Below are 26,418 nucleotides of genomic sequence, written 5' to 3'. Positions count from 1 at the left end.
CCTCCTGATCATTAAAAACTCAAACAGGAAAAAACAAACAAACAAAAAACCTATTTTAAAACAGGGTTTAACAGGATTCTTTGCTGTTTCCCAGAGACATCCTGTGCTTTATATTTTATTGGCAATTAAGTGGGGGTGGAAGATACCCTTTGTGACTCAAGTAAGGAACTGCCACCACCCACCCCAGGTTGCCTGCCCTCCGTGGTTACATCCCAGCTACAGCCAGGACATGTGAAGGATAATCAATGAATCAGCAGGCAAGCAGCATGAATAGGGAGGGAAGAAAGCCTTCCTCCTGGGCTCTTCTCACAAAGAAAATGACCATCTAAAACAACAGGAATAACAAACCAGCCTCTGGAAGCGTGTTGGGTGGGACTGGGCCAATCACCTCCCCCTATGTGTAATTCATTTGGCGGGTCTGGCCTAGTGGGGCTGGGTAGTGATGAGGAGGTGGAGGCGGGGGTGGCAGGGGGGCTTCAGTGGTTCCTTCTGTTCCCCACCCATGCCCCACCCTAGACTGTCTCCTCTGTTGACCTGAAGGCTTTGGTTCAGAAGCCGGAATTTAGTTTGCATACAGCACCCGGGGGCCTGGAATTTATCTTTCCTGTTGTCCTGCATCCCTGGGCTGTGCCGACTGCCTTGTTAGGCAGCTCTAAGGTGACGTAAGGCTTTTCTGCCTAGTCTGTTTTCTATCTATTACAGTCCTCCCGACCAATTCCTTTAAGCTGCCAGGACTGCTCCATGCCACATGAAAGCAGGTTCTGGGCTCCATCACATCCTGTTCCCGGGTCCCCCTTTGCAGTGCATCTTGAGTGGCCCTCATTCTCTTGTTTCTGATGCCACCAACCTTGTTCTGATGCCATCCCCAGGAACAGCCAATAGCCTTGCTACTGTGGCTTTCTCAGCTTGGTTTTCCAGGCCTTTCTGAGGGCCCCCTGATAACCAACTGCATGTCCCCATATTGGGAAAGAGGTCTCTTCATATGGAACCATTAAACCCAATTCAAATTCATTCAGTGTTTCTGTAGCACTCTATACTTCCTCTTTCGCAGTACTTATCAGACTTGCAAATACTGACTCAACTTCTATTTTTTCCAATACACTGAAACCACAACAAAGGTAACAAGGAAGAGTAATCTTTCCTGGACACTCACTATGTGCCAGGATCTGTGATACATGCCCTGTGTATGCTGCCTCATTTAATCTGACAACAACTCTGGGAATTAGGTGCTAGCATTACAGTGATTTTACAGATGAGGCATTGGAAGCTCAGAGAGGGTAGGTAATTTGCCTGAGGTCACAGTAAGCAATAAGCCAGGCATGAGGTAGGAGTTCATTGCCTGTTTGCTGAATGAATTAGATGAATGGGCCAATGTGTTTGTGGCCAGTGGGTGGACTGAAGATGGATGTGCTGGGCAGGTGTACTGGCCCATGTGGGGGCTGGCAATAGATCCAGGCAAGCATAAGGAAGAACTTTCCCAGAGCAAGAGCTCTCGAGTAGGCTCAAGATAAGGTGTTCAGATGAGGGTAAAGGAGAGGGTAGAAGGGAGTTAAGCCTTAGGTGGGGGATAGGCAAGATGACCTTTAAGATCCTTTCCAGCTCCAAGAATCTGCGATTGTTATGTAATTCTTAAAGAAATGAATAAAACCCTTTGCAAATACAACGCACTTTCAGCCCCAGCTCTATGCTGTTATGAACAGGAGCTCAGGGGATATTCATTTTGGTGCAATAAAAGTCAACAACGGTAAGGTCTTAAGCCCTTTGGGGATCTGTGTCTATATCCAGTCTTCCAAGAATGATATTAACAGCAGCTGGCATTTATGGAGTGCTTACTACATATTGGGCAAGATTATATGGAGCAATAGCAGGCAATATTTATGGAGTGCTCACATATTAGGCAAGAGAGTACATATTAGGTGAGGTTTATATCTTTTGCATGTATTAACTCAATTCTCACAGCAAACCTATGTGATAGTGGTGGATTAGTCAGGCAAAGATGCAATAACAAATTAACCCTGAGTCATTAGTGGCTTTATACAATAAAAGTTTATTTCTCGCTTTCTTTTTTTTCTTTCTTTTTTTTGAGACAGAGTCTTGCCCTATCACCCAGGCTGGAGTGTAGTGGTGTGATCTCGGATCACTGCAACCTCCGCCTCCCAGGTTTAAGCAATTCTCCTGCCTCAGCCTCCCGAGCAGCTGGGACTACAGGCATGTGCCACCATACCTGGCCAATTTTTTGTATTTTGAGTAGAGACAGGGTTTAGCCATATTGGCCAGGCCTGGTCTCGAACTCCTGACCTCAGGTGATTCACTCACCTTTGCCTCCCGAATTGCTGGGATTACAGGCGTGAGCCACTGCGCCTGGCCTATTTCTCACTTTCTTAAAGTCCAAAGAGGTTGAGACTTTTTTTTACCTTTTCTGTCTGAAAAGTGGCTTCTATGGAGGCTGTGGTAAGGAAAGAGATAGATAGTGAAGGAAGGTGATGTGTTTGCCATTTGCAACCCAAGACCCTAAAATGGCATTTGACTGCACATGCCCATTGTGATAGTTTAATGAGGAATCAGATGTGAGGCATTTCAAACCATGCCTGCTAGAAAATAAAAGCTCAATAAATGCTGATAATGACAGTAGTGATGATCTATATGATCAGAGAAGTGATTGGAATCCCCACAATGCTATGCACAGAAGTGGGAAGGGGTAGGAAGGTGGAATCTCACATTATCTAAAGCTTGTTGGCTGGAGTCATCCATGCACCCGTCAGGAGGTTCAGCCCAGTCCAAGTTTAGAGGCCATCTGACCAGGTAAGCGAGTGTATCAGCTGCCTCAGCCCACTGTCTGCCAGGTGTCTAGTGCCTGGTAATACTTAATACTGTACCAGCCCATGTCATCTATGTGCCTACCTTTACATAGATTGTTCTGTCTCTGTGGCTAAGCATCTGATAGATCATTCTGGTCCAATATCATTTATATGTATCTACTATCTTCCATCTATCTATATATTTATCTCTATCACTTATCTAATTTCTCTCATCTATTATCTACTATCTTCTATCTATCATCTATCAATTATCTACTATTATCTATCAATCATCTATCTTATCTATCTTCCATCTATCTATGTATCTATCACCTATCTAATCTCTCATCTATTATCTATGTTCCATCTAACTAATCTATTTATCTATCACTAGTCTGTCTATGTCTTTATCATCTATGTATGTGTGTATGGATGGATGTATGGATGTATGGATGTATCTATCTGTCTGTGACCTATCTACCTATCTACTTATGCTGGGATTGCAGCCATTCCTGAATTTCTGACAACTTGCCACTCTGTCTGACCCTTGTTAGTGCCCAGAGCCATGGAGCCATGATGCTGGGACTGTGTCATTTGGGGGACTCTCTGCTGCCTCATAGGCTCTCCCTGAATACCAGTGGCTTCCCAGATCTGTTCATGTGCTTCATGTTATTTGACTGTCCTCAAGATGTCCAGACTGTGTTTCCCATCCCCTTGTCCTCTCGAGAAGTATCTTTCTTCCCTTTTCCGCCAGTCGAGTTGCTTCATGCCTAAGGCCGTCTGAACCAAGGATCTGAGAGATGGGGAAGGCACAGCTATTTAATCAGAGGCAGTTTTGCAGAGGGATTGCACGCTTGGTTGTGGAGTCAGACCTACTCTGCTGTTTTCTTGCTGAATGATATTGGCCAAGTCACTTATGTCTCAGTTTTCTTATCTATAAAATGGGGATAATAATGTTGCTTAATTCAGAGGGTTATTGAGAAGATTAAATGAGGAAATCTACAAAAAGTGAATCAAACAGTGGCCAGCACATGGTAATAATACATATTAGGTATAATAAAAAATTGTCATTATTTTAATCCAAATCTGTCTGTCTCTAAGACTTCTGCTTTCCTACTCGATTGCACATCAAAAAAGTATCCGTTGATGGAAAGCCAATCTGAGCAGACTAACTTTGATTTTTTTCTTCATTCTGTTAAATTCACAGGGGATCCTGGAGAAGAGTATTTTTAGGAGGCATTACTGTGAAGCATAGCAGGTGGCCAGATGGTAATGGAAGGAAACATGGTCCCTTCTATCGGCTACAAGAACTGAGTGGCATTCAGGTGTGTAATGAGATAAACTACATTTCTAGAGACATTGTCTTGGATCCAGGTGGAAGAAGGGGGCACCATGGAATCTTGCCAGAGAGTATGAAGTCTGGGAAAATAGTAAAAAAACAGACTATTGCACCCAGTCCTGTTCCCTAGGTAGTCCTTTCCTTGCCTTAGCTGTGACACCTGGGAATTTACTACCATCCCTTTTGAAAGCTTTCCTCCAGAGGATGTTGATAAGGTCATGTCCGGATGATATTCCCCTACAGCTTGTGTTCCTAACAGTGTTGACTCCTCCTTTTCTGAATCACAGGCATTGCTAGAAAATCAAATTATGCCTCTGGTTATAATATCTCAGCGGGAAAGGAAATTCCCTTGGTTCCAGAGTTTCTCTCTGGAGCCCCACTCTTCTCTTGTTTGATTTGATTTTACTTTTATTTCTTGGGAGGGTGTGGTAGATATAGTGGTCACTTTTCCATTTCTTGTCTGTTTGGCATTCATTGCTTTCCCCAAATCTCAGTGGAATATTAATACACTACCTTTATATCTGTGAGATTTGGTGGGAAAATGATTCCCAGTGCTCACCTCCTATTCCTAGGGAAGCCAAGGAGGACCAGTTACTTCTTTCCCAGTCTTAGGAAAAGCCAAGAGAGGGCGTATGTCTAACCCCCGGGCAAGTGGATACTTCTTCCCTGGGTTTTAAAATATTTAGTCTACGACTGGGGGCGTAGAGATGGTTGGAGGACCTGTCTTTGAAGACTGAACTGGATAACTCAGGGGAAAGTCTACCCTAGGATTCCTAGACTCTCCCTGCAGCCACTTTCTACTTTGATTCATTTACAAAAAAGGTTGTAACTTAATACCTTCTTGGTCTGATAAATGCTCTAAATATGTGAGTTAGTGGAGTGAAGGAGACAAGAGAAAGGTTAGGCCAGCGGGGAGTGCAGGCTTCTCCTAAATAAAGCATTGAACAGCCTGGGCTTTTGAGCGCAGCCCAGCATCTAAGGTAGATAGTGTTCTCGTACTTGTTTGAAATGTCCCAGAAATACCAACGTTTTAGCATCCAAGCTGTATCCCTTAGAATGCTCCTTGTTCCATGGTATATATACGCCACATTTTCTTTATCCAGTCTATCATTGATGGGCATTTGGGTTGGTTCCAAGTCTTTGCTATTGTAAATAGTGCTGCAATAAACATATGTGTGCATGTGTCTTTACAGTAGAATGATTTATAATCCTTTGGGTATATACCCAGTAATGGGATTGCTGGGTCAAATGGTATTTCTGCTTCTAGAACCTTGAGGAATTGTCACACTGTCTTCCACAATGGTTGAACTAATTTATACTCCCACCAACAGTGTAAAAGAGTTCTTAAAAAAAAAATGTTCCTTGTTCCCAAAAGATGCCTCCAAACCCTTTCTCAGACTATGTAGCCTGATTCAAGGACCAGAAAATAAAGCCTCCACAGCAGAAGTAGCAGAGGGCTTCAAGGGGTGTGGCTCTGAGCTGGGATCAGAGCTGAAATCTGGCTACCTGGCCTGAGTGCTCCCCTCCCTCTCTGTGAAGGGCACCAAGCTGTGCTTATCAAATGGCATGGCAGTGGGCACCAGGGACGCCGTTACCTGAGGTGGGGAAAGACATTGATTGCTACATCAAGAGTCAAATAATCCTGGCTTATAATAAGGAAGTTTATGCCTCACCCATGTAACAGTATGAGCACAGGCAGCCCAGGGCTGACACACTGGCTCCGTGGCCCTGGGCAGCTCACTCTTTCTATCCTGTTGCTTTGCTATCCTCCAAATATACATTCCATCTAGTGGCTGAGATGCTGATTCAGCTCCCACTACCACGGGGCTCTGTCCAGCAAGCAGGAGCTAAGGGGAGGTGAGAGCATGCTTCTTCCCTTTTAAGGCCTGACCCATGGCTTCTGTTCATAACTCACTGGCCTCAATCCAAGCATTTGGCCACAGCTAGTCTGCAAGGAAGATTAGAAAAGATAATGGTTAGCTGGGTGGCCACGCATCCAGATAAGAAGTCTGTTTATAGAAGAAAAGGAGAATAGATATCAGGGAGATAACCATCAGTTTCTGCTCTGACCTTCATGTATACTCCCACAATCACCCAATAACCTTGATATTCTGTCATCAGAGCAAAATGTCTATGGCTGACCTTCATGCTTTTTACACGGAAGGAGCTTAAAGGACCTGAATGAGGTTCTGCAGGAATATCAAATGGTAGATCTTCAGGCACTAGGCAGGCGAGCAGAGGAGATATTTTATGACAAGGACCCTGAAGGCTCTTCCTGTCTTCCCATGTAGGCAGTCACTTATTCTTTTGTTGAACTTCTTCTGTCTGCACTGTGTATTCTCTTCTTCAGCTGCGCTTAAACTCAGACACTCTGACCCCCATTCTAGCAAAGGCAGCCCTGAGCAGAGGCCTTTAAGAGTGACCTCCCTGGAGAAGCCACCCAGTGCTCCCTGCCACAGTTTCTTCTATCCCTCCTGGTATGCCCGTGGCCTCTAATTCTGCTGTTTGGACACCTTGTCCTTGTGCCTCCAGGCCACACGTAGGCAAACCAGGGGTGGACATCTGAAAGGCCACCCAAGGAGAACCAGTCCACAGGCTGGGCTGGGCAAATTGCATCCTGTCTCTGGAGAATTGGAACTCAGCGACACAGCACTAAGTCAGTTAGCTTGAACTGAGAGCTCACATAGAATTGGGGTCAGAGTTCCTGCCATGATACATCAAAACTGTGTATAAACCAAAGGTTTTGGAGAGTACAGAGGAGCCTCAAGTAACCCCCAAAACTGATCTGCTCCAGGCTAATGGGGCAGATATGCAGGGAGTGGGGAGAGATGATGTGGCTAATGAGAGATTTCTGTCATTCCTGTTCCCATTCCATGTGCCCAAGCTCTCCTTCATTGCTCATCTTCATGTGCTTGTCTGGTTGGTATAATGTAATAGCTGGGAGTGTGAACTATGGTCTCAGATTGCACTGGGTTCAAATTACAGCTCTTCTCCTAATACCATGAGTATGGGCAAGCAACCTAACCAAGTAAACCTCAGTTTTCTCATCTGTAAATGGGGATTTTATGAGTACCTACTTCATAGGACAACTTGAGGATAATGCAAGTGACAAGTGCACAAGTTAGTTTGGGAAGGCTTCCCGGTTTCCCACCCTTCCTCTTTTCCTCCATCCCTCCCTTCCTCCCTTCCTTCCTTCCTTCCCTCCTTCCTTCCTTCCCTCCCTCCCTCTTTCCTTCCTTCCTTCCTTCCCCTCTTCCTTCCTTTCCTCCTTTCCTCTTTTCCTCCCTTACTCCCTTTGTGTAACCAAAGGTTCAGAACAAAGGGCAAGGCATCTGAAATGCCTTGCTAATCACTTTCTCCTCCAACTATCTTTGAGATATGAGCTTGTCCTATGAATTAATTCATGGAGCGATTTGCTTAACTTGATTCGGCTCCTTTCAGGCCTCTAGCCCACTTTCCTTCCTTTTGTGGATGAGGTAACTGAGGCCTCAGAGGCTCAGTGACCTGCTCAGGGAGATGTAGTGAGGAGGTGGTGGCACTGGTGTCCTGCTGACATTAACTCTGAGTCCAGTGCTGCCTCCTCTGGCACACACTTGAGTTCCAGAGATACCCTTGCAAGATACCCTTGCTGCACGGTAGTTGGCTCTCCTCCTCCCCTTCCCTTTCCTCCACATGGGAAGAACCGGACACGGTGTGCTTGAAGAGCCTTCCAGAAGGCTATACTAATGAATTTTTATTCCTTCTCACATGAGGAGTTGAGACCTTCTGACCTCAATATGCAAGGAGACGCTAAAGATGTAAATCAGCCGCTCTCAGGTTCATAAAAATAGCTCAGCAATGCAGCTCCCTCCTCCCCCTCTCATCCTAGCATCTGAGCTCCTGCTCCTGGTCCCTGCTACCTTTTTGTTAACTCCTTTTTCTTCATTCCAGGTCATCAGTGCTTGTCTCCTTCCCTGTCCCTTTCCCTCATTTGTTCTCTTTCCTCTTCTCCTCCACAGGCCCACTTTTCCCTCCTCCATTTTCTGAATTTCCTTCCTATCTTCTTGCTTTCCCTACCTTCCTGACCAGGGTGTGTGTGGACAGACAGGCAAAGCTCTTCACTGCCCATTGGAGCCTGGAAGCGCAACACACTAACATTATTTTGAAAAATTCCAAGGTCCTCTGGATCCTTGGGTGCCTGTGCTGGGGGTATGGGGAAGGCAGGGAGGCCTGTGGTATGGTGGCCATGCTGCGGACACTGGAACCATCCTGCTAGGACTCAACGCCCAGCTCTGCCTAGAGCAAGTAACTACATCTGTGTGGGTCTCTGATCCATTGTTTGCAGAAAGTTAGCAACAACAGCATCCATCTTACAGGGTTGCTGGGAGGAGAACAGGAGGTAATGCAGGTAGCTAGCTCAGAAAAATCAGCCAGCGATAATTAGCCATTACTATCTTCTCAAAGCCCTGTAGACCACAGGTGGTCCCAAGGCAAGGCCTAGGTACACGTGAACAAGTGAGTGGGGATCTGGGAAAGGCTCTGTGACTGAGGAGTACAGCAACCAGCAAAGCTGAGATGATAGGCACGGTGGCCTAGCAGGCAAGCACAAGCTCTTTGGGGTCAGACAGACCTGCCTTGGGTTCTAAAAAAAAAAAAAAGTGTTCCTTGTTCCCAAAAGATGACTCCAAACCCTTTCTCAGACTATATAACTTGATTCAAGGACCAGAAAATAAAGCCTTTTCATAGCCATGGTACTCAGGTCCTGTGAAAGGACATTTCTAATTCTCAGGGCCTTCACCTGTAAACAGCAGATGCAGAAGTACCGATTTTGTGAGCACAGGGCTTAGCACAGAGGTTGGCAGATATGATAATCATTAGCCATTTAACAATCTATGGTTTGATTCAGCTTATGACTTTCTACAAAGGATAACTTGTATAGAACAGTGTTTCTCAGCCTTATTATGATTCCATGATCATTCCTCCAGGAACATTTTTACGCATTTCTCTCCCTTAATCCCCTGTCCCCTGGATTTTTATTACCACAAATATACTGTATACCTGTTTGTGTACTATACATATATCTATGCTTTATACATAGAGAAGATAAGATTTTTTTTTTTTGTCCTCCGAGAACCAATTTTTGCCCCCACTGAGAATGTATGGCTTAGACCAGTGGTTCTCAAATTGGGGTGATTTTGCCTGCCATGGGGCACTTGGCAATATCTGGAGGCTTTTTTTAATTGTGTGTGTGCATGCAGAGGGTGGTGCTAATGACTTTTAGTGGGTAGAGGTAAAGATGTTGCCAAGAATCCTACAATGCACAGGAAAGTGCCCACAGCATAGAATTATCCAGCCCCAAAAGTGATGTGGTTGAGAGATCTTGCTGTAGGGTTATCATTTTTTTTTTTTAACCTAAATATGCTCAAAAGGGTGCTTGTGTCCCAGTGATTAGACAAGGTGGGAGATGCATCAGGAGGTTTTTTTCTTTTTCCTCTTTGTCAGTGTGGGTGGACGTAGCTTCTTAAAGGCACTGAGGGAGGCTGGACATGAAGGAGGCCCTGTGTCACGAGTGTGACCATGATTTAGCTGGATTAAGTATCATTGCTCTTGCCATTTCTCATCTGCCTTCATTAAAAAGAAAGCCCATACTTTGCAGGGTCATGTTTTAGGTAAAATGACAATGATGTGGGACTCTAGAGTCCTTTGTTGAAGGAGGCCATGCTGTAGTTTGGGCAAGACTAATTCTTAGATCATCACGATGATCGCTAACATGTATTGCACACCAACCCATGTGTCAGAGATTGCATTAAGCACTGCATTTTACATGGATTAATTAATGATATTTTCCTAACAATCCTATGAGACAGGCGCTATTACTATCCTCACTCCCATTTTACAGACAAGGAATAGGACGCCTGGAGTGGTTAAGTAACTTGTTCCGAGTCACACAAGTAGGAGGTAGGGTAGCTGGGATTTGAACTCAGGGCATCAGACTCCAGAGCCCACAAACTTAATATAGACTTACACTACCTCTTAACTCTAATACAAGGTGAACTCTTCTAAGAGTTAGAAGAGGTATTGCTGAAGTACTCCTAGAGTTCAGAGATTCAGAGATGACTCCCAGCAGGAGAAACCAGGGCCACCTTCCTGGAGGCAGTGACACCAAACAGGGTGGGAAGGATGAGTAGGAGTGGCATAAGTAGGGCCAGGGAGAGCATCCCATTCAGAGGGGGACCGCTCGAGCAAAGGCATAGAAGTAGGGAAATGGCAGGAATTATCTTCCTTAGGAATCACTGGGTCACATAGGAGCCCATGGGAGCCAGTGTACCAATACATTTCGTCCTGATTTCAGTTGTAAAGGGCATGTGATGTGCTTGGGAGCTGCAAGTCCCTGTGGCAGTGCTGCTAAACAGAGTTACTCAGTCATGGCACTATGAACATCTTGGGTTGGATAAGTCTTTGCTATAGAGGACTGCCGTGTGCATTGTAAGATATTTAGCGGCATCCTTCCCTTCTAACTACCCATCCTTCCAAGTTGAGACAACCAAAAATGTCTCCTAACATCGTCAAATGTTTCCCCAAGCGGGGGAAAATAACCCCTGATTAGGAACTACTGTCCTAAATGTGAAAGGATGTGGGCAACATAGGCTGGGAAGGCAGAAAATCTGGGTTTTCATACCAGGAAGTTAGTGCTGTGTGACTTTTGGAAAGACATTTTCTCTCTCTGAGCCTTATTGTTCTCACCCAAAAGATAAGGCAGCTGATTGCAGTTTATGGTCCCTGAGGACGTTTTTCCCTAGCGGCCTGAGACTGGCCTCAGACGTGCCACCAGCAGCTCCAGATGCCAGTAGCTGCTCCATTATGCAGTGCAGTGATACCCACCCCTCCCATCTAGCAAACTGGCAGCTGCTGGTTGTGTGTTGAGCCCAGGATGGGGCCCGCCGCTGCCACCGAGAGCAGGTGTGTGAAGGGCTTTTGGTGTCACTTTCCACAGCAACACCCAAGTGACACCCCTAATTATAGTCAGGGGGAGCAGGACTCAGGAGGCGGCAACGAGTTGTTCTTGGTGTGAGAAAATGATTAACACCAGAAAACTGGCCAAGTGGGGCTGCTGAAGTCATTTCCTGAGGTCCTAATGGAAGAAGTTTCCCTCCCATTTCTTTAGAGGGAACTTGGTTCTCACCTTTACTCTGTCCTGGGAACCAGGCAGATGTTCCAGGAGAGGGGAAGCCATTGCAGGTTTCACTTGGCTGTGGAATTTAGAATCATGGCAGACAGTTGTGCAGCGGGGGTGCTGAGAGGTTCCCTCCCATGTCGAGAGCTGCTTCACTGTATAGAAATGGTGGGGAATCCCCTCAGTGCCAACTGGGGTCGATTTTGTGACCTCAAGAAAGTCAGTCAACCTCTATGGGTCTCAGCTCCATCATCTGCAGAAAGTCAACAATAACAGGCTCTCCCTTCTAGGGTTGCAAGGAGGAGAACATGAGTTCACACAGGTGCATGGCTGCAGCAGTGACGAATAAGCCCAGAGGCTCTGCACCGCATTCCCCTTTTGGCCTGCACTATCCTTGGCCTCCAGTGACCCTCAGAGGGAGGTATTCTCAAGCTGTGTTTTATAGATGAGGCTCAGATAGATTAAAACCATTTTGCTAACATCTCTTAGTTAGTATAATGAAAAATGGTTGAAGCTCTGACAGGATTCCACCAGGGGCTGATTCCAAAGCCTGCGTCGAAGTCCCAGCTCTGAGGGCCTGACAATCACTCCCCCAGCCTGTCCATCAGAGCCTGGAATGCAAACTCTCCGCTCTTGCTGTTTATTGTGGGCCTCTTTCCAGAAGGCAATAAAAATAACGGTGCGTGTGGGCAAGGGGATGAGCAGATAAGGGAAGTGTGATGGAGAGAGGGACATCTGATAAGGGGCCAGAGAGCAAAAGGAAGCAGATACAGGGGACCCTGGGATAAGGGCAAGATAAGAGAATGGGGAAGATGAAAAGGTGCCTTCTGGGAGCCGGGTGATGGAGGAGAGGAGCAGATAAGGGGCAGCATGAGCCATGGGCCATGGGGAATGGGGAATGTGGGCATTAAAGGGGGAAGGAGAAGTAGATAAGAGGGCAGAAAGGGGTGGAGGGAGGCAGACAGAGACAGGGGGCAGTCCTGGTGCCTCTGCTCCCAGAATTCCAGGCCTGTTTGTGGTATCTGGCATGATCTTATTCTCTCTATTCTGAAAGTGAGTCCATGGCTTTCCCCAGGCCATGACTCTGAGTCCATGAGATACAAATATCACGGCGGGAGAGGCGGGAGCTCCAAGGAGGCCGGGTCTGGCTGTGGGTCTCTTGAGAATAAAGGCACTGGCATTGGACAAACTCCCTACTGCCTCCTCTGTCCAAAGGAAGGTTTGCTCCCTCCCTTGTACCTTCCTTCCTTCTTTCTTTCTGTACTTCCTCTACTCAGCAGTTCCACTGCTAAATTCTGTTCCAGGCTCGGAGAATACAGGAAAGATTGCTGTACATTCTGATAGGATAATGATTTTTTTTTTTTTTTGAGACAGTGTCTTGCTCTGTCACCAGGCTGCAGTGCAGTGGCACAATCTTAGCTCACTGCAACCTCCACCTCCCGGGTTCAAGCGATTCCCCTGCCTCAGCCTCCTGAGTAGCTGGGATTACAGGCGTGCACTAACTTTTTGTATTTTAGTAGAGACAGGGTTTTATCATGTTGGCCAGGATGGTCTCGATCTCCTGATCTCGTGATCCACCTGCCTCGGCCTCCCAAAGTGCTGGGATTACAGGCGTGAGCCACCACGCCTGACCAGGAGAATGAATATTAACAACCACATAGATAAATAAGGTACTTGAGATAGCCACAACTGCCATGAAGAACATAGAATCATGTACAAGGACAGTGAGTGATAGGGTTGGTTACTTTGGGTTGGCTGGTCAGAGTGGGCTTTTGCAAGGAGGTGGCCATTTGGCTGGGACCTAATGATAAGAAGGAAGCAGTTAGGAGAATATCTGAGAGCAGAGGAAACATCAAACACGAAGGCCCTTGGAGGGCATGTGCTTGGCTTGTGGGGCTGCATCCTCATGACAAAGAGGGAGAGTGATATAATCAGGTCGAAGAGGTGGAGGGGCCAGAGCATGCAGAACTTGGATTGCAGAATTTATACCAAGTGTAACGAGAAAGGCTGTAGGAGGCTCACCTGGATGAGGCCAGGGTGCATTTGGTCAAGTGGAGGGTATGCAGTGTAATGGAAAGAGCACTGGACAGGCCAGGAGATCCAGGTTCCACTTCTGACTTTCCCCCTAACATACATTGTGACTTTGGGTAAGTCAATGTCCTTCTCTGGGCTTTAGTCACTACTAGTCGTGACCTGAGAGAATGACTCAGTGATTCCTAAGGTCCATTCAGTCCTGACATTCCATGGACATTTGAGCAGAGTCAAAGAGGGCATCCTGTGGGCCCCAGTCTGAAAGCCTTCGAAGTCTTTCATATGTGAATATAACTTGCTTTTCCAGGGCCTTCCATCATTCCCTCCTTCCCCCCTAGTTTTACCATGTAGAGCAGCACCAAGTGCACAAGTTCAAATCTTGACTCTGCCACTACATTTGTATGTAACTTTGGGCAAGGGGCTTAACTTTCGTGAACTTCAGCTTTCTCATTTGCAAAATGCCAATAATAATCACACCCACCTCATGGGGCTGTCATGGGGGAGGAAATGAGATAATTATGTAAAGGATTAAATCAGCTCCTGATGCACAATACATTATTATTACTGGTGCCAAGGACTCCCAAATCTTTACTTTGAGGTCAGCTGCATCTCCCAATCATGGGCCAAAATGTTCATCTACTGACGTATCATTTCTACTTGAAAACTGATGTTCCATTGGCACCTCCAGCTGAACATGACCAAAATCAGACTCATTGTCTCCCTTGCTCCCCATTTTCTTCCCCTTCTTTTTCCTGCTCCCAGGTCCCTTATCTTGGATCATGGTACCATGGTTCTCCCAGACACTCATGCTGAGTCTCAGAGTTATCTAAGACTTGTTTTTCCACATCCAATCAATCACCAAATCCTATCACTTAACCTCCATCGTGTCTCATTCGTCTCATTTTCATTCCTAATGCTGTCCCTACCCCTCGCCTAGACTGTAGGATAATCTCTGAACCAGCTTCCTGCTTTGTTTCTTGTTCTTTGTCCCTCATTTCTGCCATCCATCACCTACTTTTCAAAGACTGTTGTCAGAGTGACCTTAACACATACCTCTAAGATGGTCACTTTTCTGCTAAAAAGTCTTCTGTATCTCCCCATCCACTCTAGGCCACAAGATAAAACCCACCACCCCAGCCTGCCTTCAAAGTCTTTCAAATGTGAATATAACTTGCTTTTTCAGGGCCTCCCCTCATCCACCTCTAATACATCTCAAACCTTCCTTGAGTGTGGCTCACTTCTGGAGAACCTCAGTTTAAGTTTCTCCCCTCTCCTAGAATCTATCCCACTCCAGGGCTGCTTGTTCAGGTTCACCCATACTTGGAAACCAAACTTTGAACCTATCTACACCCTATGGAGGCTTCCCAGATGCCCTGCCAATCTATTGGATCCTGGTTACCACACAGGTACATATTACCTCTTTTATAAAGTACCTACAGGTTTTCTTGAATGGATATGTACCCATTTTTTTCTCCCCTACTAGACTTGTGAGTTCCTGGAAGATGGGAATTTTGTTTTGGTCATCTTTATATTGTTGGGTAGACCTAGTAATAGTTTAAGAAGCCTGATAAGTCTCTCAAATCTAATGGAGTTAAAACAGGACCCGTTATTTCACCCCCTTCCTCAACCTCTATTGCATTCCCTGAGCAATCCTATTCCTCCTCCAGACTTCGCCTTCTTGGTAAACAGCACCGCCCTCCACCCAGTTGCACAAGCTCCAAACCTAAGAGTCATTCTTGATTCCTGTCTTTCTTTGCTCGCACCCCATGCCCTGTCCATCACCAAGGTAGCTCTACCTCCAAAATTCATCCCAAACTTTCCCACTTTTCTCCACCTAACCCGCCACCTCTTTCTCCTGGACTGCCACAATGACTCCAAAGTGGTCTCCTTGCCTCTGTTCTTGCTGCCCTGTACTCTATTTTCCTTTCTGAAGTGAGAATGTTCTTTTAAAATGTACATCACATTGTATCACTAACTGACATAAAACCCTCTAGTGGCCTCCCATTACATGGAGTAACATGTGGATGCCCCACTCTGGTCTGCAGAGCCTTGCATACGTCCGTTTCTAATCACCCATCATATTACTCCCCCGATGGCCACATCACACCTTCAGCCACTGCGACTTTTCTCCAATATACCAAGCTCGTTCCTACCCCAGGGCCTATGCACTGTCACCTTCACCTGTACTACTATTTTCCCTGGTCTTCATGTGGTTGTCTTGTGTAATTTATATTTTCATGTAAATAACTTTCTTAACTGGATTACCCAGCCAATTATTCCATCACATTGCTCCACTTTAAATCTATGCATTGTACTTACTACTCTCTAATTAAAATTATTATTATTTTCCTCTGGTTGTTTCCACTCCACTAGAAATAAACTCTGAAATTAAGGAGTTTGTCTATCTTAGTTTCCACTGTATCCTAGTGCCTAGGACAGTGCCTTGCACATAAGAACTTACTGAACAATTAGAAATAATAATAATTACTATAAGTGATGTGTCTGTTATCTACTGAGCTATTATATAGCGGGAAAAATGGGGATAATAATATTAATCTTGTAGGGTTTGTGAGGATTAGAGATAATTTATGTAAAGTGCTTAGTATGCTATAGGTCTTATAACCATTGTTTGCCCAATGTCTCCCAGCTGGTAAGGGGTTGAGCAGGGCTCAGATGTAGGTTTCGCTTTCTCTAGTGCTGAGGCTCTTACCTCTACCTGGGAGAATTGGTAATATTCTGGTCTGTTTTGTCTGCCATTAATAGAATCACAGAAGCTTTTTTGTACCTTGTATTTGTATTGCATATCTTTTTTATCCTTCTCCTTATGAACAATATGCCTTTGTATTTAAAGTGTACCCCTTGTAGTCAGCATATAGCTGAATCTTGCTTTTTTACTAGTCTGTCAATCTCTGCTGCTTAACGGGTTAAAAACTATTTTTTGAGTTACTTTCTTAGTGGTTTATCCAGTGATTAGAATGTAAATTTTTATTTGTCATAATATTAAGATAAATTAATGAAAACTCCAGATTAATACTAACTTAATTTTGGTAAAATACAGAAACTTTTCTCCAATATAACTCCGTATCCTTCCCTTCCTTTGTGGTATTATTTAGACACATATGACATCTATATATGTCAGAATCCATACAGCAACTCAATGTTGTAATTATTGCTATATAAGGACATATCTTTTAAAGAAGTTAAAAGAAGAGAAAAATATATGTATTTGTATTTTTTATATTTTTGTTTTATTTATTTATTTTTGAATTTTTGTGTCTTTTATGTATGTGATTGTATGTCTCTTATATTTGCCCACATACTTCCCACTTTTGGTGCTTTTTTTCTGGTGAATTCTAGTTACCATATGGTGTCATTTCTCTTCAGCATAAAGGACTACTTTTAATATTTCTTAGAAGACAGGTCTTCTAGCAGTGAATTCTCTCAGTCTTAATTTATTGGGAATTGTCTTCATTTCACCTTTAATAGGCAAAAATTGTTCACTTGATTATTGAATTTTTGGTTGACAATTGTTTGTCTTTCAGGACTTTGAATATGTCTTTTCATTGCCTTTTGGCTTCAGTTGTTCTGATGGGACATCTGTTATTAATCATTTTGTTGTTCTTTTGTATGAGATGAGTAAAATTACTTTTCTTGTTGCTTTCTTATTTTATTTTATTTTTGAGACAGGGTTTGGCTTTGTCACCCAAGGTGGAGTGCAGTGGTGTGATCTTGGCTCGCTGCAAACTCCACCTCATGGGCTCAAGCAATCTTCCCACCTCAAGCCTCCCAAGTAGCTGGGGCTGCAGGTGCATGGCACCATGCCTGGCTAATTTTTGTATTTTTCTTTTGGTAGAGGTGGCATTTGGCCATGTTGCCCAGGCTGGTTTCAAGCTCCTGGGCTCAAGCAATCTGCCTGCCTAGGCCTCCCAAAGTGCTGGGATTACAGTGCAGGAGTGAGCCACTGTGCTGGCCTCTTGCTGCTTTCAAGATTTTCTCTGTGTTTGTCATTCAACCATTTGACTATGATGTGTCTGGGTGTGAATCACTTTGTTTTTATCTCTTTGGCATTCCTTGGAGAGTTTTGCCCATTCTTTCTTTTTTTATTTTTAAGTTTATTATTAAATTTTTTTTGTGGGTACATAATAGGTGTATATATTTATGGAGTACAGGAGATGTTTAGATATAGGCATGCAAAGTGAAATAAGTATATCACGAATAATGGGGTATCCATCCCCTAATGCATTTATCTTTTGAGTTACAAACAATCCAATTACATTCTTGAAGTTATTTTAAAATATATAATTAAGTTATTATTGACTATAGTCACCCTATTGTCCTATCAAATAGTAGGTCTCGTTCATTCTTTCTATTTTTTTTTGTACCCATTAGACATCCCCATCTCCCTGCTTTCTGCCTATTTCTCTCTCTCCTTTCCTTCTGGGACTCCTATTACATCTATGTGTAGAGGAATAGCTCTGGGGTGGTGCCCTGCCACCCCAGTACATGCCCACATAGGACATAGAAGCAATGCTTAACTGTAATTTGACCCAAGTCTTGGTAAAACACCTTGCTATTCCTCATGTAATGAGGGGGATAAGCAGTCTTATGGGGAGCTGCCATGAAGAAGCTTATCCGCATCTCCTTAGTTTGCAGGAGAAAGATGTAAGGCTGGTTTTATCCACCCCCTTGTTTCAGAGGAGGACATGACTTTCCACCTTGACCCACTTAGAGTAGAGCTGCTGACTTCTGTGTATGTCTATTAATTTGCTGGCTGTATTTAGAAGGAGCCCCTCAATAGCACAGCCACCCACTGCCTGAGCATCCTGTTATCTGGCCCCTCTCACTTGGTGGTGTCTTGTGGAGCTAGGACATAGGAAGCTAACATTATGCTGACTGATTTTTCATCAGTATAAGTAATAAACTGTCTGAATCCATTTGAGCTTATTGTCTTTTTACTGGCCTAATCTATGAAATTGTGGTAAACTGCAGTAGCGATTCCTATATCCCTGTTAGCCACTATGCTGCTGCTTTGGGACTGTTTTGACAGTATGTTGGGATGCTTGATGATATCCCTATTGGGTTAAGTAGTGCCCGCAGAAGTTCATGTCTACCCAGAACCTCAGAATGTGACCTTATTTGGAGATACGGTCTTTGCAAATGTAAGTCAAGTGCAGATGAGGTTATAATGGATTAGGTTGGGCCCTATTCCAATGACTGCTCTCCTTATAAGAAGAAAGAAATTTGGACACAGAGGCATGCACAGAGGGAAGATGATGTAAAGACACATAGGGAGAAGAACATGTGATTGCAGTGATGAGTCTACAAGCCAAGGAATGTCAAGATTGCCAGCAACCATCAGAAGCTAGAAGAAGCAAGAAAGGATTCTCCCCTAGAGTCTTTAGAGAGTATAGGCCTACTAACACCTTGATTTTGGATTTCTAGCCTCTAGAGCTGTGAGATAATAAATGTCTGTTATTTTAAGCCATCCAGTTTGTGGTACTTTGTTAGAGCAGCCCTAGGAAATGAGTACAGTGTTACACATGAACATGAACATGTGTGACACATGAGACATGAACAGGTCTCTTGAGGCTCTTTTTATCTTTATTCAGTATTTGTTTCTTTCTCTCTATTGTATTGGATCGTTTCCATTAATCTGTCTTCAAGTTCACTGATTCTTTCTTCCGTCATCTAAAGTCTGTTGGTTGCTCACCACAACAATACTAAAAACATTAACTTTTTCATTTTAGAAAGTTACTGAACTTTTCAACTCTAAAATTTTATTTGGTTCTTTTGCATGACTTCCATCTCCTTATTAAGATTCTTTATTTGTTGAGTCATTGATTCATATTTTTGTTGATTTTTTAAACATTGTTTCCTTTAGTTCTCTGAACATAATTATTGGTTTTAAAGACTTTGTCTGCTAAATCCAACATCTGGGCCCACTCAGAGACCATTCCTATTGACTAAATTTTTTTTACTGAGTGTGGATCATGTTTTCCTATATCTTTGCATGTCTCATAGCTTTTTGTTGTTCCAAACTGGATAATGTAGGTAATATATTGTAGCAGTTCTGGACTGCGATGCCTCCTGGGAATGGTTATTGTTGCTGCTTGTTTGTTTAGTAGCTTACCTGGACTAAATCTGTGGATACTGTCTTCCTTGTGATGTGTTGCTACTGATGTCTTTCCTCAGTTTGTAAAAAAACTATTTTATTTTAAGCCTGAATTCCTAGGGGTTGCTTCTATTTTCTTCATAGTTTAGGAGTCAGCTGATGTTTGGTCACAGGTTGTGATCAAACACCTTGTATTAGTTTTTCTATTGCTGACATGTACCACAAGCTTAGTGTCTAAACAAAATAAACTTACTATTTTAGTCCTCTTTGGGAATCATTGGGCTAAAATCATGGCATTGGCAAGGCTGTATTCCTCCTCCTCCTCCTTGTTCTCCTCCTCCTCCTCCTTCTCCTCCTCCTCCTCCTTCTCCTCCTCCTCCTTCCTTTTCCTCCTCCTCCTTCCTATTCCTCCTCCTCCTTCCTCTTCCTCCTCCTCCTTCTTCTTCTTCTTTTCTTCTCCTTTTCCTTCTTCTTCTCCTTCTCCTTCTCTTCCCTCTCCCTCCCCCTCCCCCTCCCCCTCCCCCTCCTCCTCCTCCTCCTCCTCCTCCTTCTCCTTCTCCTTCTTCTTCTTCTTCTTGTCGTGCTCCGTTGCCTAGGCTGGAGTACAGTGGCACGATCTTGGTTCACTGCAACTTCCGCCTCCCAGGTTCAAGAGATTCTCATGCCTCAGCCTCCCAAGTAGCTGGGATTACAGGCACCCTCCACTATATCGGCTAATTTTTGTGTTTCTAGTGGAGATGGAGTTTCACCATGTTGGCCAGGCTAGTCTCCAACTCCTGACCTCAAGCGACCCACCCACCTCAGCCTCCCAAAGTGCTGAGATTACAGGTGTGTCACTGTGCCCAGCTAAGGCTGCATTCCATTCTGAAGGCTCTGGGGAAGAATCAGTTTCCTTGCCTTTTCCAATTTCTAGACGGCATTAACCTTGCTTGTCTATGGCTTATGTTCTCCATCTTCAAAGCCTGCTTTTAAAGAGTCCTGTGACTAGATTGGGCCCACCAGGATAATCCAAGATAAACTATCTCAGGGTCCTTAACCTTCATCCCGTCTGCAAAGTCCCATATGCCCTTAACATAGTCACAAGTTATAGGATCAGACCTGAACATCTTTGTGGGGGGGCGGGGAAGAGAGGACTTTATTCTGCCTACCACACACCTCAAGCTAGTGAGGCTTCCATACACTTCTATCAGATCTGTGTGGGTTATCAAAGTTCAGGAAGTTTTCAGGTCAGCCCTGGCCGTTACTCTCAGGTAGGCCATCTTTCATCTTCTCTGCATGTGCTCTGCATCCTCGTGCACCAGGGATCTGTGAAGCCCCTTTAGGACTATCTGGTTTCCTGAATCTCCTTGTTAACTTTCTGGTTAGTCTTCCACCAGGACTGCAATCTCAGGTTAGTAGAGTTGTTGGCTTTCCCAGTTTACTGGTCACGAAGATTGCTAGCATTACTGACAGGGATGATGGATATGGATTTTTTTTTCCCTCCCATTCCAAACCAAGTGAGTCCTCTCTGCAGCAAGTTGCTGGTTTTCACAGCCAGTCCCATTGGGCTAGAACTACCCTGCCGACCAAGCTGGATGGGGATGGGGAGGATGAAAGCAGCTTCAGTCTGAAGCTTGAATACCACAAACTCCTGCAGTTCTTATCCCAAATTTAGCAGTTTTTCATGAATACAAACTTTATTTGCTGTATGGCTCTGTTTGATTTTCAGAGCTCTGAATCATTGTTTTTGACAGTTTTGATTTTAGTATATATAGTTGCTTTTTGGGGAGAAGATTTGCTGACCTCTTCATTTTGCCAAACCAGAAGTCTCTCCTGCCTAATTGGAGGCTTTAGTCCCAATATTATTACATTTAGAATAATTAATAATATTGTCAGTTTCTCAATATACTTTACTGGTATTTGACTGCTTTCTGTATCATGTGTTTATTTGTCCCTCTTTCCCTCCTTTCCTGCCTTCTTTGGGATAATCAAATATTTTGTAGCTGTCCATTTTAATTTCTCTATTGACTTTTTAACTATTTTTTTTGTATTTTTTTAGTGCTGCTCCAGGCAATATACATATTCTTAATTTATCAAGTCTACCTTTAACTAATATTGCATCACTTCCTGTGAAATGCAAGAATCTTACAACAGAAAGACAGCACTTATCTAAACCCATCTTCTATGCTATTACTGACATACAAGTATACCTTCTTTCATTGCGCTTCGCTTTATTATGCCTCTCAGATATTGTGTTTTCATTACAAATAGAAGGATTGTGGTAACCCTGCATCAAGCGAGTCTATTGGTGGCATTTTCTCAACAGCATGTGTTTACTGTGTGTCTCTGTCAAATTTTGGTAATTCAATATTTCAAACTTTTTCGTTATTGTTTATCTGTTACGGTGATCTGTGATCAGTGATCATTGATGTTATTACTGTAATTGTTTTGGAGCACCACAAACCATGCCCGTATACAACACTAATCCATACAAGTCGTGAGTGTTTTGATTACACCACTGACTGGCCATTCAACATCTCTCTTCCTCTCCTTGGACCTCCCTAGTCCCTGAGACACAACAAAGTTGAAATGAGGCCAATTAGTAACCCTGCAAGGGCCTCTAAGTGTTCAAGTGAAAGGAAGAGTTGTACGTCTCTTACTCTATATCAAAGGTAGAAATGATTAAGCTTAGTGAGCAAGGCTCACTAATGTCTTTCATGAATGTCCAAAGCTTTCACTAATGTCAAAAGCTGAGATATGCTGAAAGCTAGGCCTGTCATACCAAACAGTTGGCCAAGTTGTGAATGCAAAAAAAAAAAAAAAAAAAAAGTCCTTGAAGGAAGTTAAAAGTGCTATTCCAGTGACCACACGAATCATAAGGAAGCAAAACAGCCTTATTACTGATGTGGAGGAAGTTTTTGTGGTCTGGATAGAAGATCAAACTAGCCACACAATACTACCTCAAGCCAAAGCCTAATCCAGAGCAAGTCTCTTCCATTCTGTGAAAGCTGAGAGAGGTGAGGAAACTGCAGAAGAAAAGTTTGAAGTTAGCAGAGATTTGTTCATAGGTTTAAGGAAAGAAGTTATCTCCGTAACATAAAAATACACTGTGAAGTAGCAAATGCTGATACAGAAGCTACAGCAAATTATTAAAAAATCTAGATAAGATAATTGATGAAGGTGGCTACACTAAATTTACAAATTTTCCATGTAGATCAAACAGCCTTTTAATGGAAGAGATGCTATTTAGGACTTTTATAGTTATAGAGGAGAAGTCAACGGCTGGCTACAAAGCTTCAAAGAACAGGTGGACTCTGCTGTTAGTGGCTACTGCAGCTGGTGATTTTAAGTTGAAGCCAGTGCTCATTTACTATTCTAAAAATCCTAAGGCCCTTAAGAAATATGCTAAACCAACTCTGCTTGTGCTGTACATAAATGAAACTGCAAAGCCTAGATGACAGCACATCTGTCTATAGCATGGTTTATTAGATATCTTAGTCATACTGTTGAGACCTATTGCTCAGAATAAAGACTCCTTTCAAAATATTACTGCTCACTGACAATACACCTAGACACTCAAGAGCTCTAATGGAAATGTACAGGGCAATTAATCTTGTTTTCAAGCCCAGTAACACAATGTTCACTGTGCAGTGCATGAATCCAGGGGTAATTTTGACTCTCAAGGCTTATTATTTAAGACATATATTATGTATGGCTATAGCAGCCATTCATAGTGATTCCCCTGGCGGGTCTGGGCAAAGTAAATTGAAAACCTTCTAAAAAGATTCATCCTTCCAGATGGCATTAAAAATATTCATATTCATGAGAGGAGATCAAAATATCAACATTAGCCGTAATTTGGAAGAAGCTGATTCCAACTGTCATAGTTTCCTTCGAGGGGTTCAAGATGTTAGTGGAGGAAACAACTGCAGATTTGGTGGAAATAGTAAGAGAACTAGAAGTGAAAGTGGAGCCTGAAGATGTGACTGAATTGCTGCAATCTTATGATAATATTTGAATGGATGAAGAGTTGCTTCTTTCAGAAGAATAAAAAAGTGAGTTTTTTTTTTTTTTTTTCTTTGAGACAGTGTCATGCTCTGTCATCCAGGCTGGAGTGCAGTGGTGTGATCTCAGCTCACTGCAACCTCTGCTTCCTGGGTTCAAGCAATTCTCCTGCCTCAGCCTCCTGAGTAGCTGGGACTACAGGCATGCACCACCACCAAGCCCGGCTAATTTTTGTATTTTCAGTAGAGATGGGGTTTCACATGTTGGCCAGGCTGGTCTCAAACTCCTGACCTCAGGTGATCTGCCCATCTTGGCCTCCCAGAGTATTAGGATTACAGGCACGAGCCATCTCGCCTGGCCAAAAAAGTGAGTTTTTGAGTTGGAATATACTCTTGGTGAAGATGCTGTGAACATTGTTGAAATGATCACAAAGGATTGAAATATTACATAAGCTTAGTTATTAAAGCAGTGGCAGATTTTTAGAGGATTGACTCCAATTTTGAAAGAAGTTTGACTGCGGGTAAAATGCTATCAAACAGCATCCCATACTACAGAGAAATCTTTGTGAAAACGAAAGTCAATTGATATAATTGATATGGGAAACTCCATTGTTGTCTTTTTTTTTTTGAGATGGAGTATTGCTCTGTCACCCAGGCTGGAGTACAGTGGTGTAATCTCGGCTCACTGCAACCTCCGCCTCCTGGGTTCAAGTGATTATCCTGTCTCAGCCTCCTGAGTAGCTGGGATTACAGGTGCGTGCCACCATGCCCAGCTAATTTTTGTATTTTTAGTAGACAGAGCGTTTCACTATGTTGGTCAGGCTGGTCTCGAGCTCCTGACCTCGTGATCCACCCACCTCAGCCTCCCAAAGTGCTGGGATTACAGGCCTGAGGCACTGTGCCCAGTCATTGTTGTCTTATTTTAAGAAATTGCCACAGCCACCCCAACCTTTAGCAACCACTATCCTGATCAGGAAGCAACTTTTAATTTCTTCTGAGAACTTTTTTTTTTCCTTTTCTTTTTTAGACATGGGGTCTCATTCTGTTGCCCAGGCTGGAGTGCAGTGGTGTGATTATAACTCATGGCAGCCTCAAACTCCTGGGCTCAAGAGATCCTCTTGCTTCAGCCTCCCAAGTTGCTAGGACTACAGGCATGGACCACCATGTCTGGCTAAGAACTTTTCTTTTGCATTCACAACTTGACTAACTGTCACAAATCTTTAATTCTTAAAAATGTGATATCTATGAGGTACAATAAAGCAAAGTGAAATAAAATGAGGTATGCCTGTATACTATGATTTAGTTAACCAGTTCCCAGTTGATCTATCCCTTTTTCTTAAAGTTCTCTAGATTGGAAAACTGAAGCTCCCTCGAGAATCAGGGACATCTCTGGCCATTCCTCAGACAGAATTTAACCTCTTATTTTGTACATGCATTGAGTAGTTATTGTGAACAGGGCTCACATCCTGAATACTCTATGGCAACACTGAGGTAGAGTTTCTGCCCATGTATACAAATCACTGACACATAAGGTAGATGGTAGCAAGTGGCCGAGAAAGACAGAGAGCGAGTGAGCTTAGTTCTGTCTTCGTGGAAAGTAGGTCAGGAACGGCTTCATGGTGTTGGCGACATTTGAGTTAGATCAGAAATAGGGGAGAGGTCTTTTGAAAGAGGCTGTTCCAGGTGGAGGGAACAGTGTGGACAGAGGCACAGACGAGAGCCTGGATGGGGAAGAGAGACTGGCGTGAGTACCAGCATGTGGAGGAAAGCAGGCTGGGGCTAGGCCACAGTGGATATTAAGCACTAGTCCAAGGAAATGATCAAGGACTGAGAACTTTCATGGAGTTTTGCTTGTCAAGGGCCTGTTATAAGATTGAAAGGACTGGATTCATGGATTAAAGGTATGTCCTAGAGGGAGACCTCTTATATTAAAGCACGTTTTGATAAATTGGTTGTAGAAAATGCCCCTCCCTTTTCTCGCACTTGTGTTATCTGGGTCCATTCCCTCTTTTGTCTGCCCTCAATCACCTGCTCCAAGGTGTCCAGGCTGAGGCTGACCATGAGCTCACACTGCCTCCCTGTGCCAGGTTCATGCATAGCACTTGGCATAACTGCTGCCCTGAGGCTGGAAGGGATGGGATCAGTCTTTATTCTGTGTTGCTCACTGATGCTCACCATCCACATGCACTCATTGTTTTAGATGGGGAGACTGACTGCATTTGCAGTGATGTCTGGATGAGCACTCACATTCATTTCAATACAGAAAGTCACAGGGAGGGTAGTGGGGAGGGTCTGTCTTGAGGACCTGCCACTACAAGTCTCCTGGGCTCCAGGCAAGGGGCGGAGACCTCTGCCTACTCCTGGTGGCACCCTTCTCCATGGGATGATGCATCTGTTCCTTACTTTTTTGACCAAGGGAAGTGATACTTTTTCTCTCGTCTTTTATCTTCACTTTCCTATCTAATTTCCATGAGAATTTCTGGATTAGTTTCTAAGTCCTGGGGAGGACTTGGTATGAGAGGAGCAGGACAGCAAAAATGGGGAGCTGCATTTAGCATTCAGAGTTCCCTCATTGCCTGAAAGATAAAGTCCAATGGCTTAGGCTAGACTTCAAGGCCCATCAGGATCTGGCTGTTACCTGCTTTCTAACTTCAGCTCTGTGCATCCTGTGCTTCAATCAAAAAGGTTACAAATCCTGCCCATGTTATTCCCTCTGCCTGGAACACTCTTTTCCACACCTTGATTCTGGCCCAAATCACCTTCTGTACCAAAGAGGTACCAAACAGGTACAACTTCCTAAATAACTAGTCCTAAGCCTGGGCATAGGGTGCAAGCAAAGAGAAATACATGTCACATCCAAAATAGCCTCTACCCTTACCTATGGTTCCAAGACCAGACTGGCGTCAACTGCTAGTCTTTAATTTTGATCTGAGACCTCCTGCATACCAGTCCAGACTCAGCTCAAATATACCACCTCTGCAGGTCTTTCCTGAGCCTGACTC

The 26,418-nt window shown here is 43.9% G+C and overlaps 1 long non-coding RNA gene across 3 annotated transcripts in view; it reads left to right on the top strand.

Moving 5' to 3' along the window:
- LOC105369309 (uncharacterized) overlaps window positions 1-26,418 on the top strand; it is a 189,617-nt gene that overhangs the window by 74,864 nt on the left and 88,335 nt on the right. For 2 of the 3 annotated variants that reach the window (XR_007062671.1, XR_950120.3), the window contains exon 5: window positions 4,006-5,260. This is a non-coding gene — a long non-coding RNA (uncharacterized LOC105369309). Of the gene's footprint in view, window positions 1-4,005; window positions 5,261-26,418 lie in introns of those variants that run through there. The other variant, XR_007062670.1, reaches the window with a different exon arrangement.

This window comes from Homo sapiens, chromosome 11, assembly GCF_000001405.40.
Source record: "Homo sapiens chromosome 11, GRCh38.p14 Primary Assembly".
NCBI classification, from domain to species: Eukaryota; Metazoa; Chordata; class Mammalia; order Primates; family Hominidae; genus Homo; species Homo sapiens.
The sequence above is the reverse complement of the archived record's forward strand: the minus strand, read 5'-3'. Positions and strand labels throughout refer to the sequence as shown.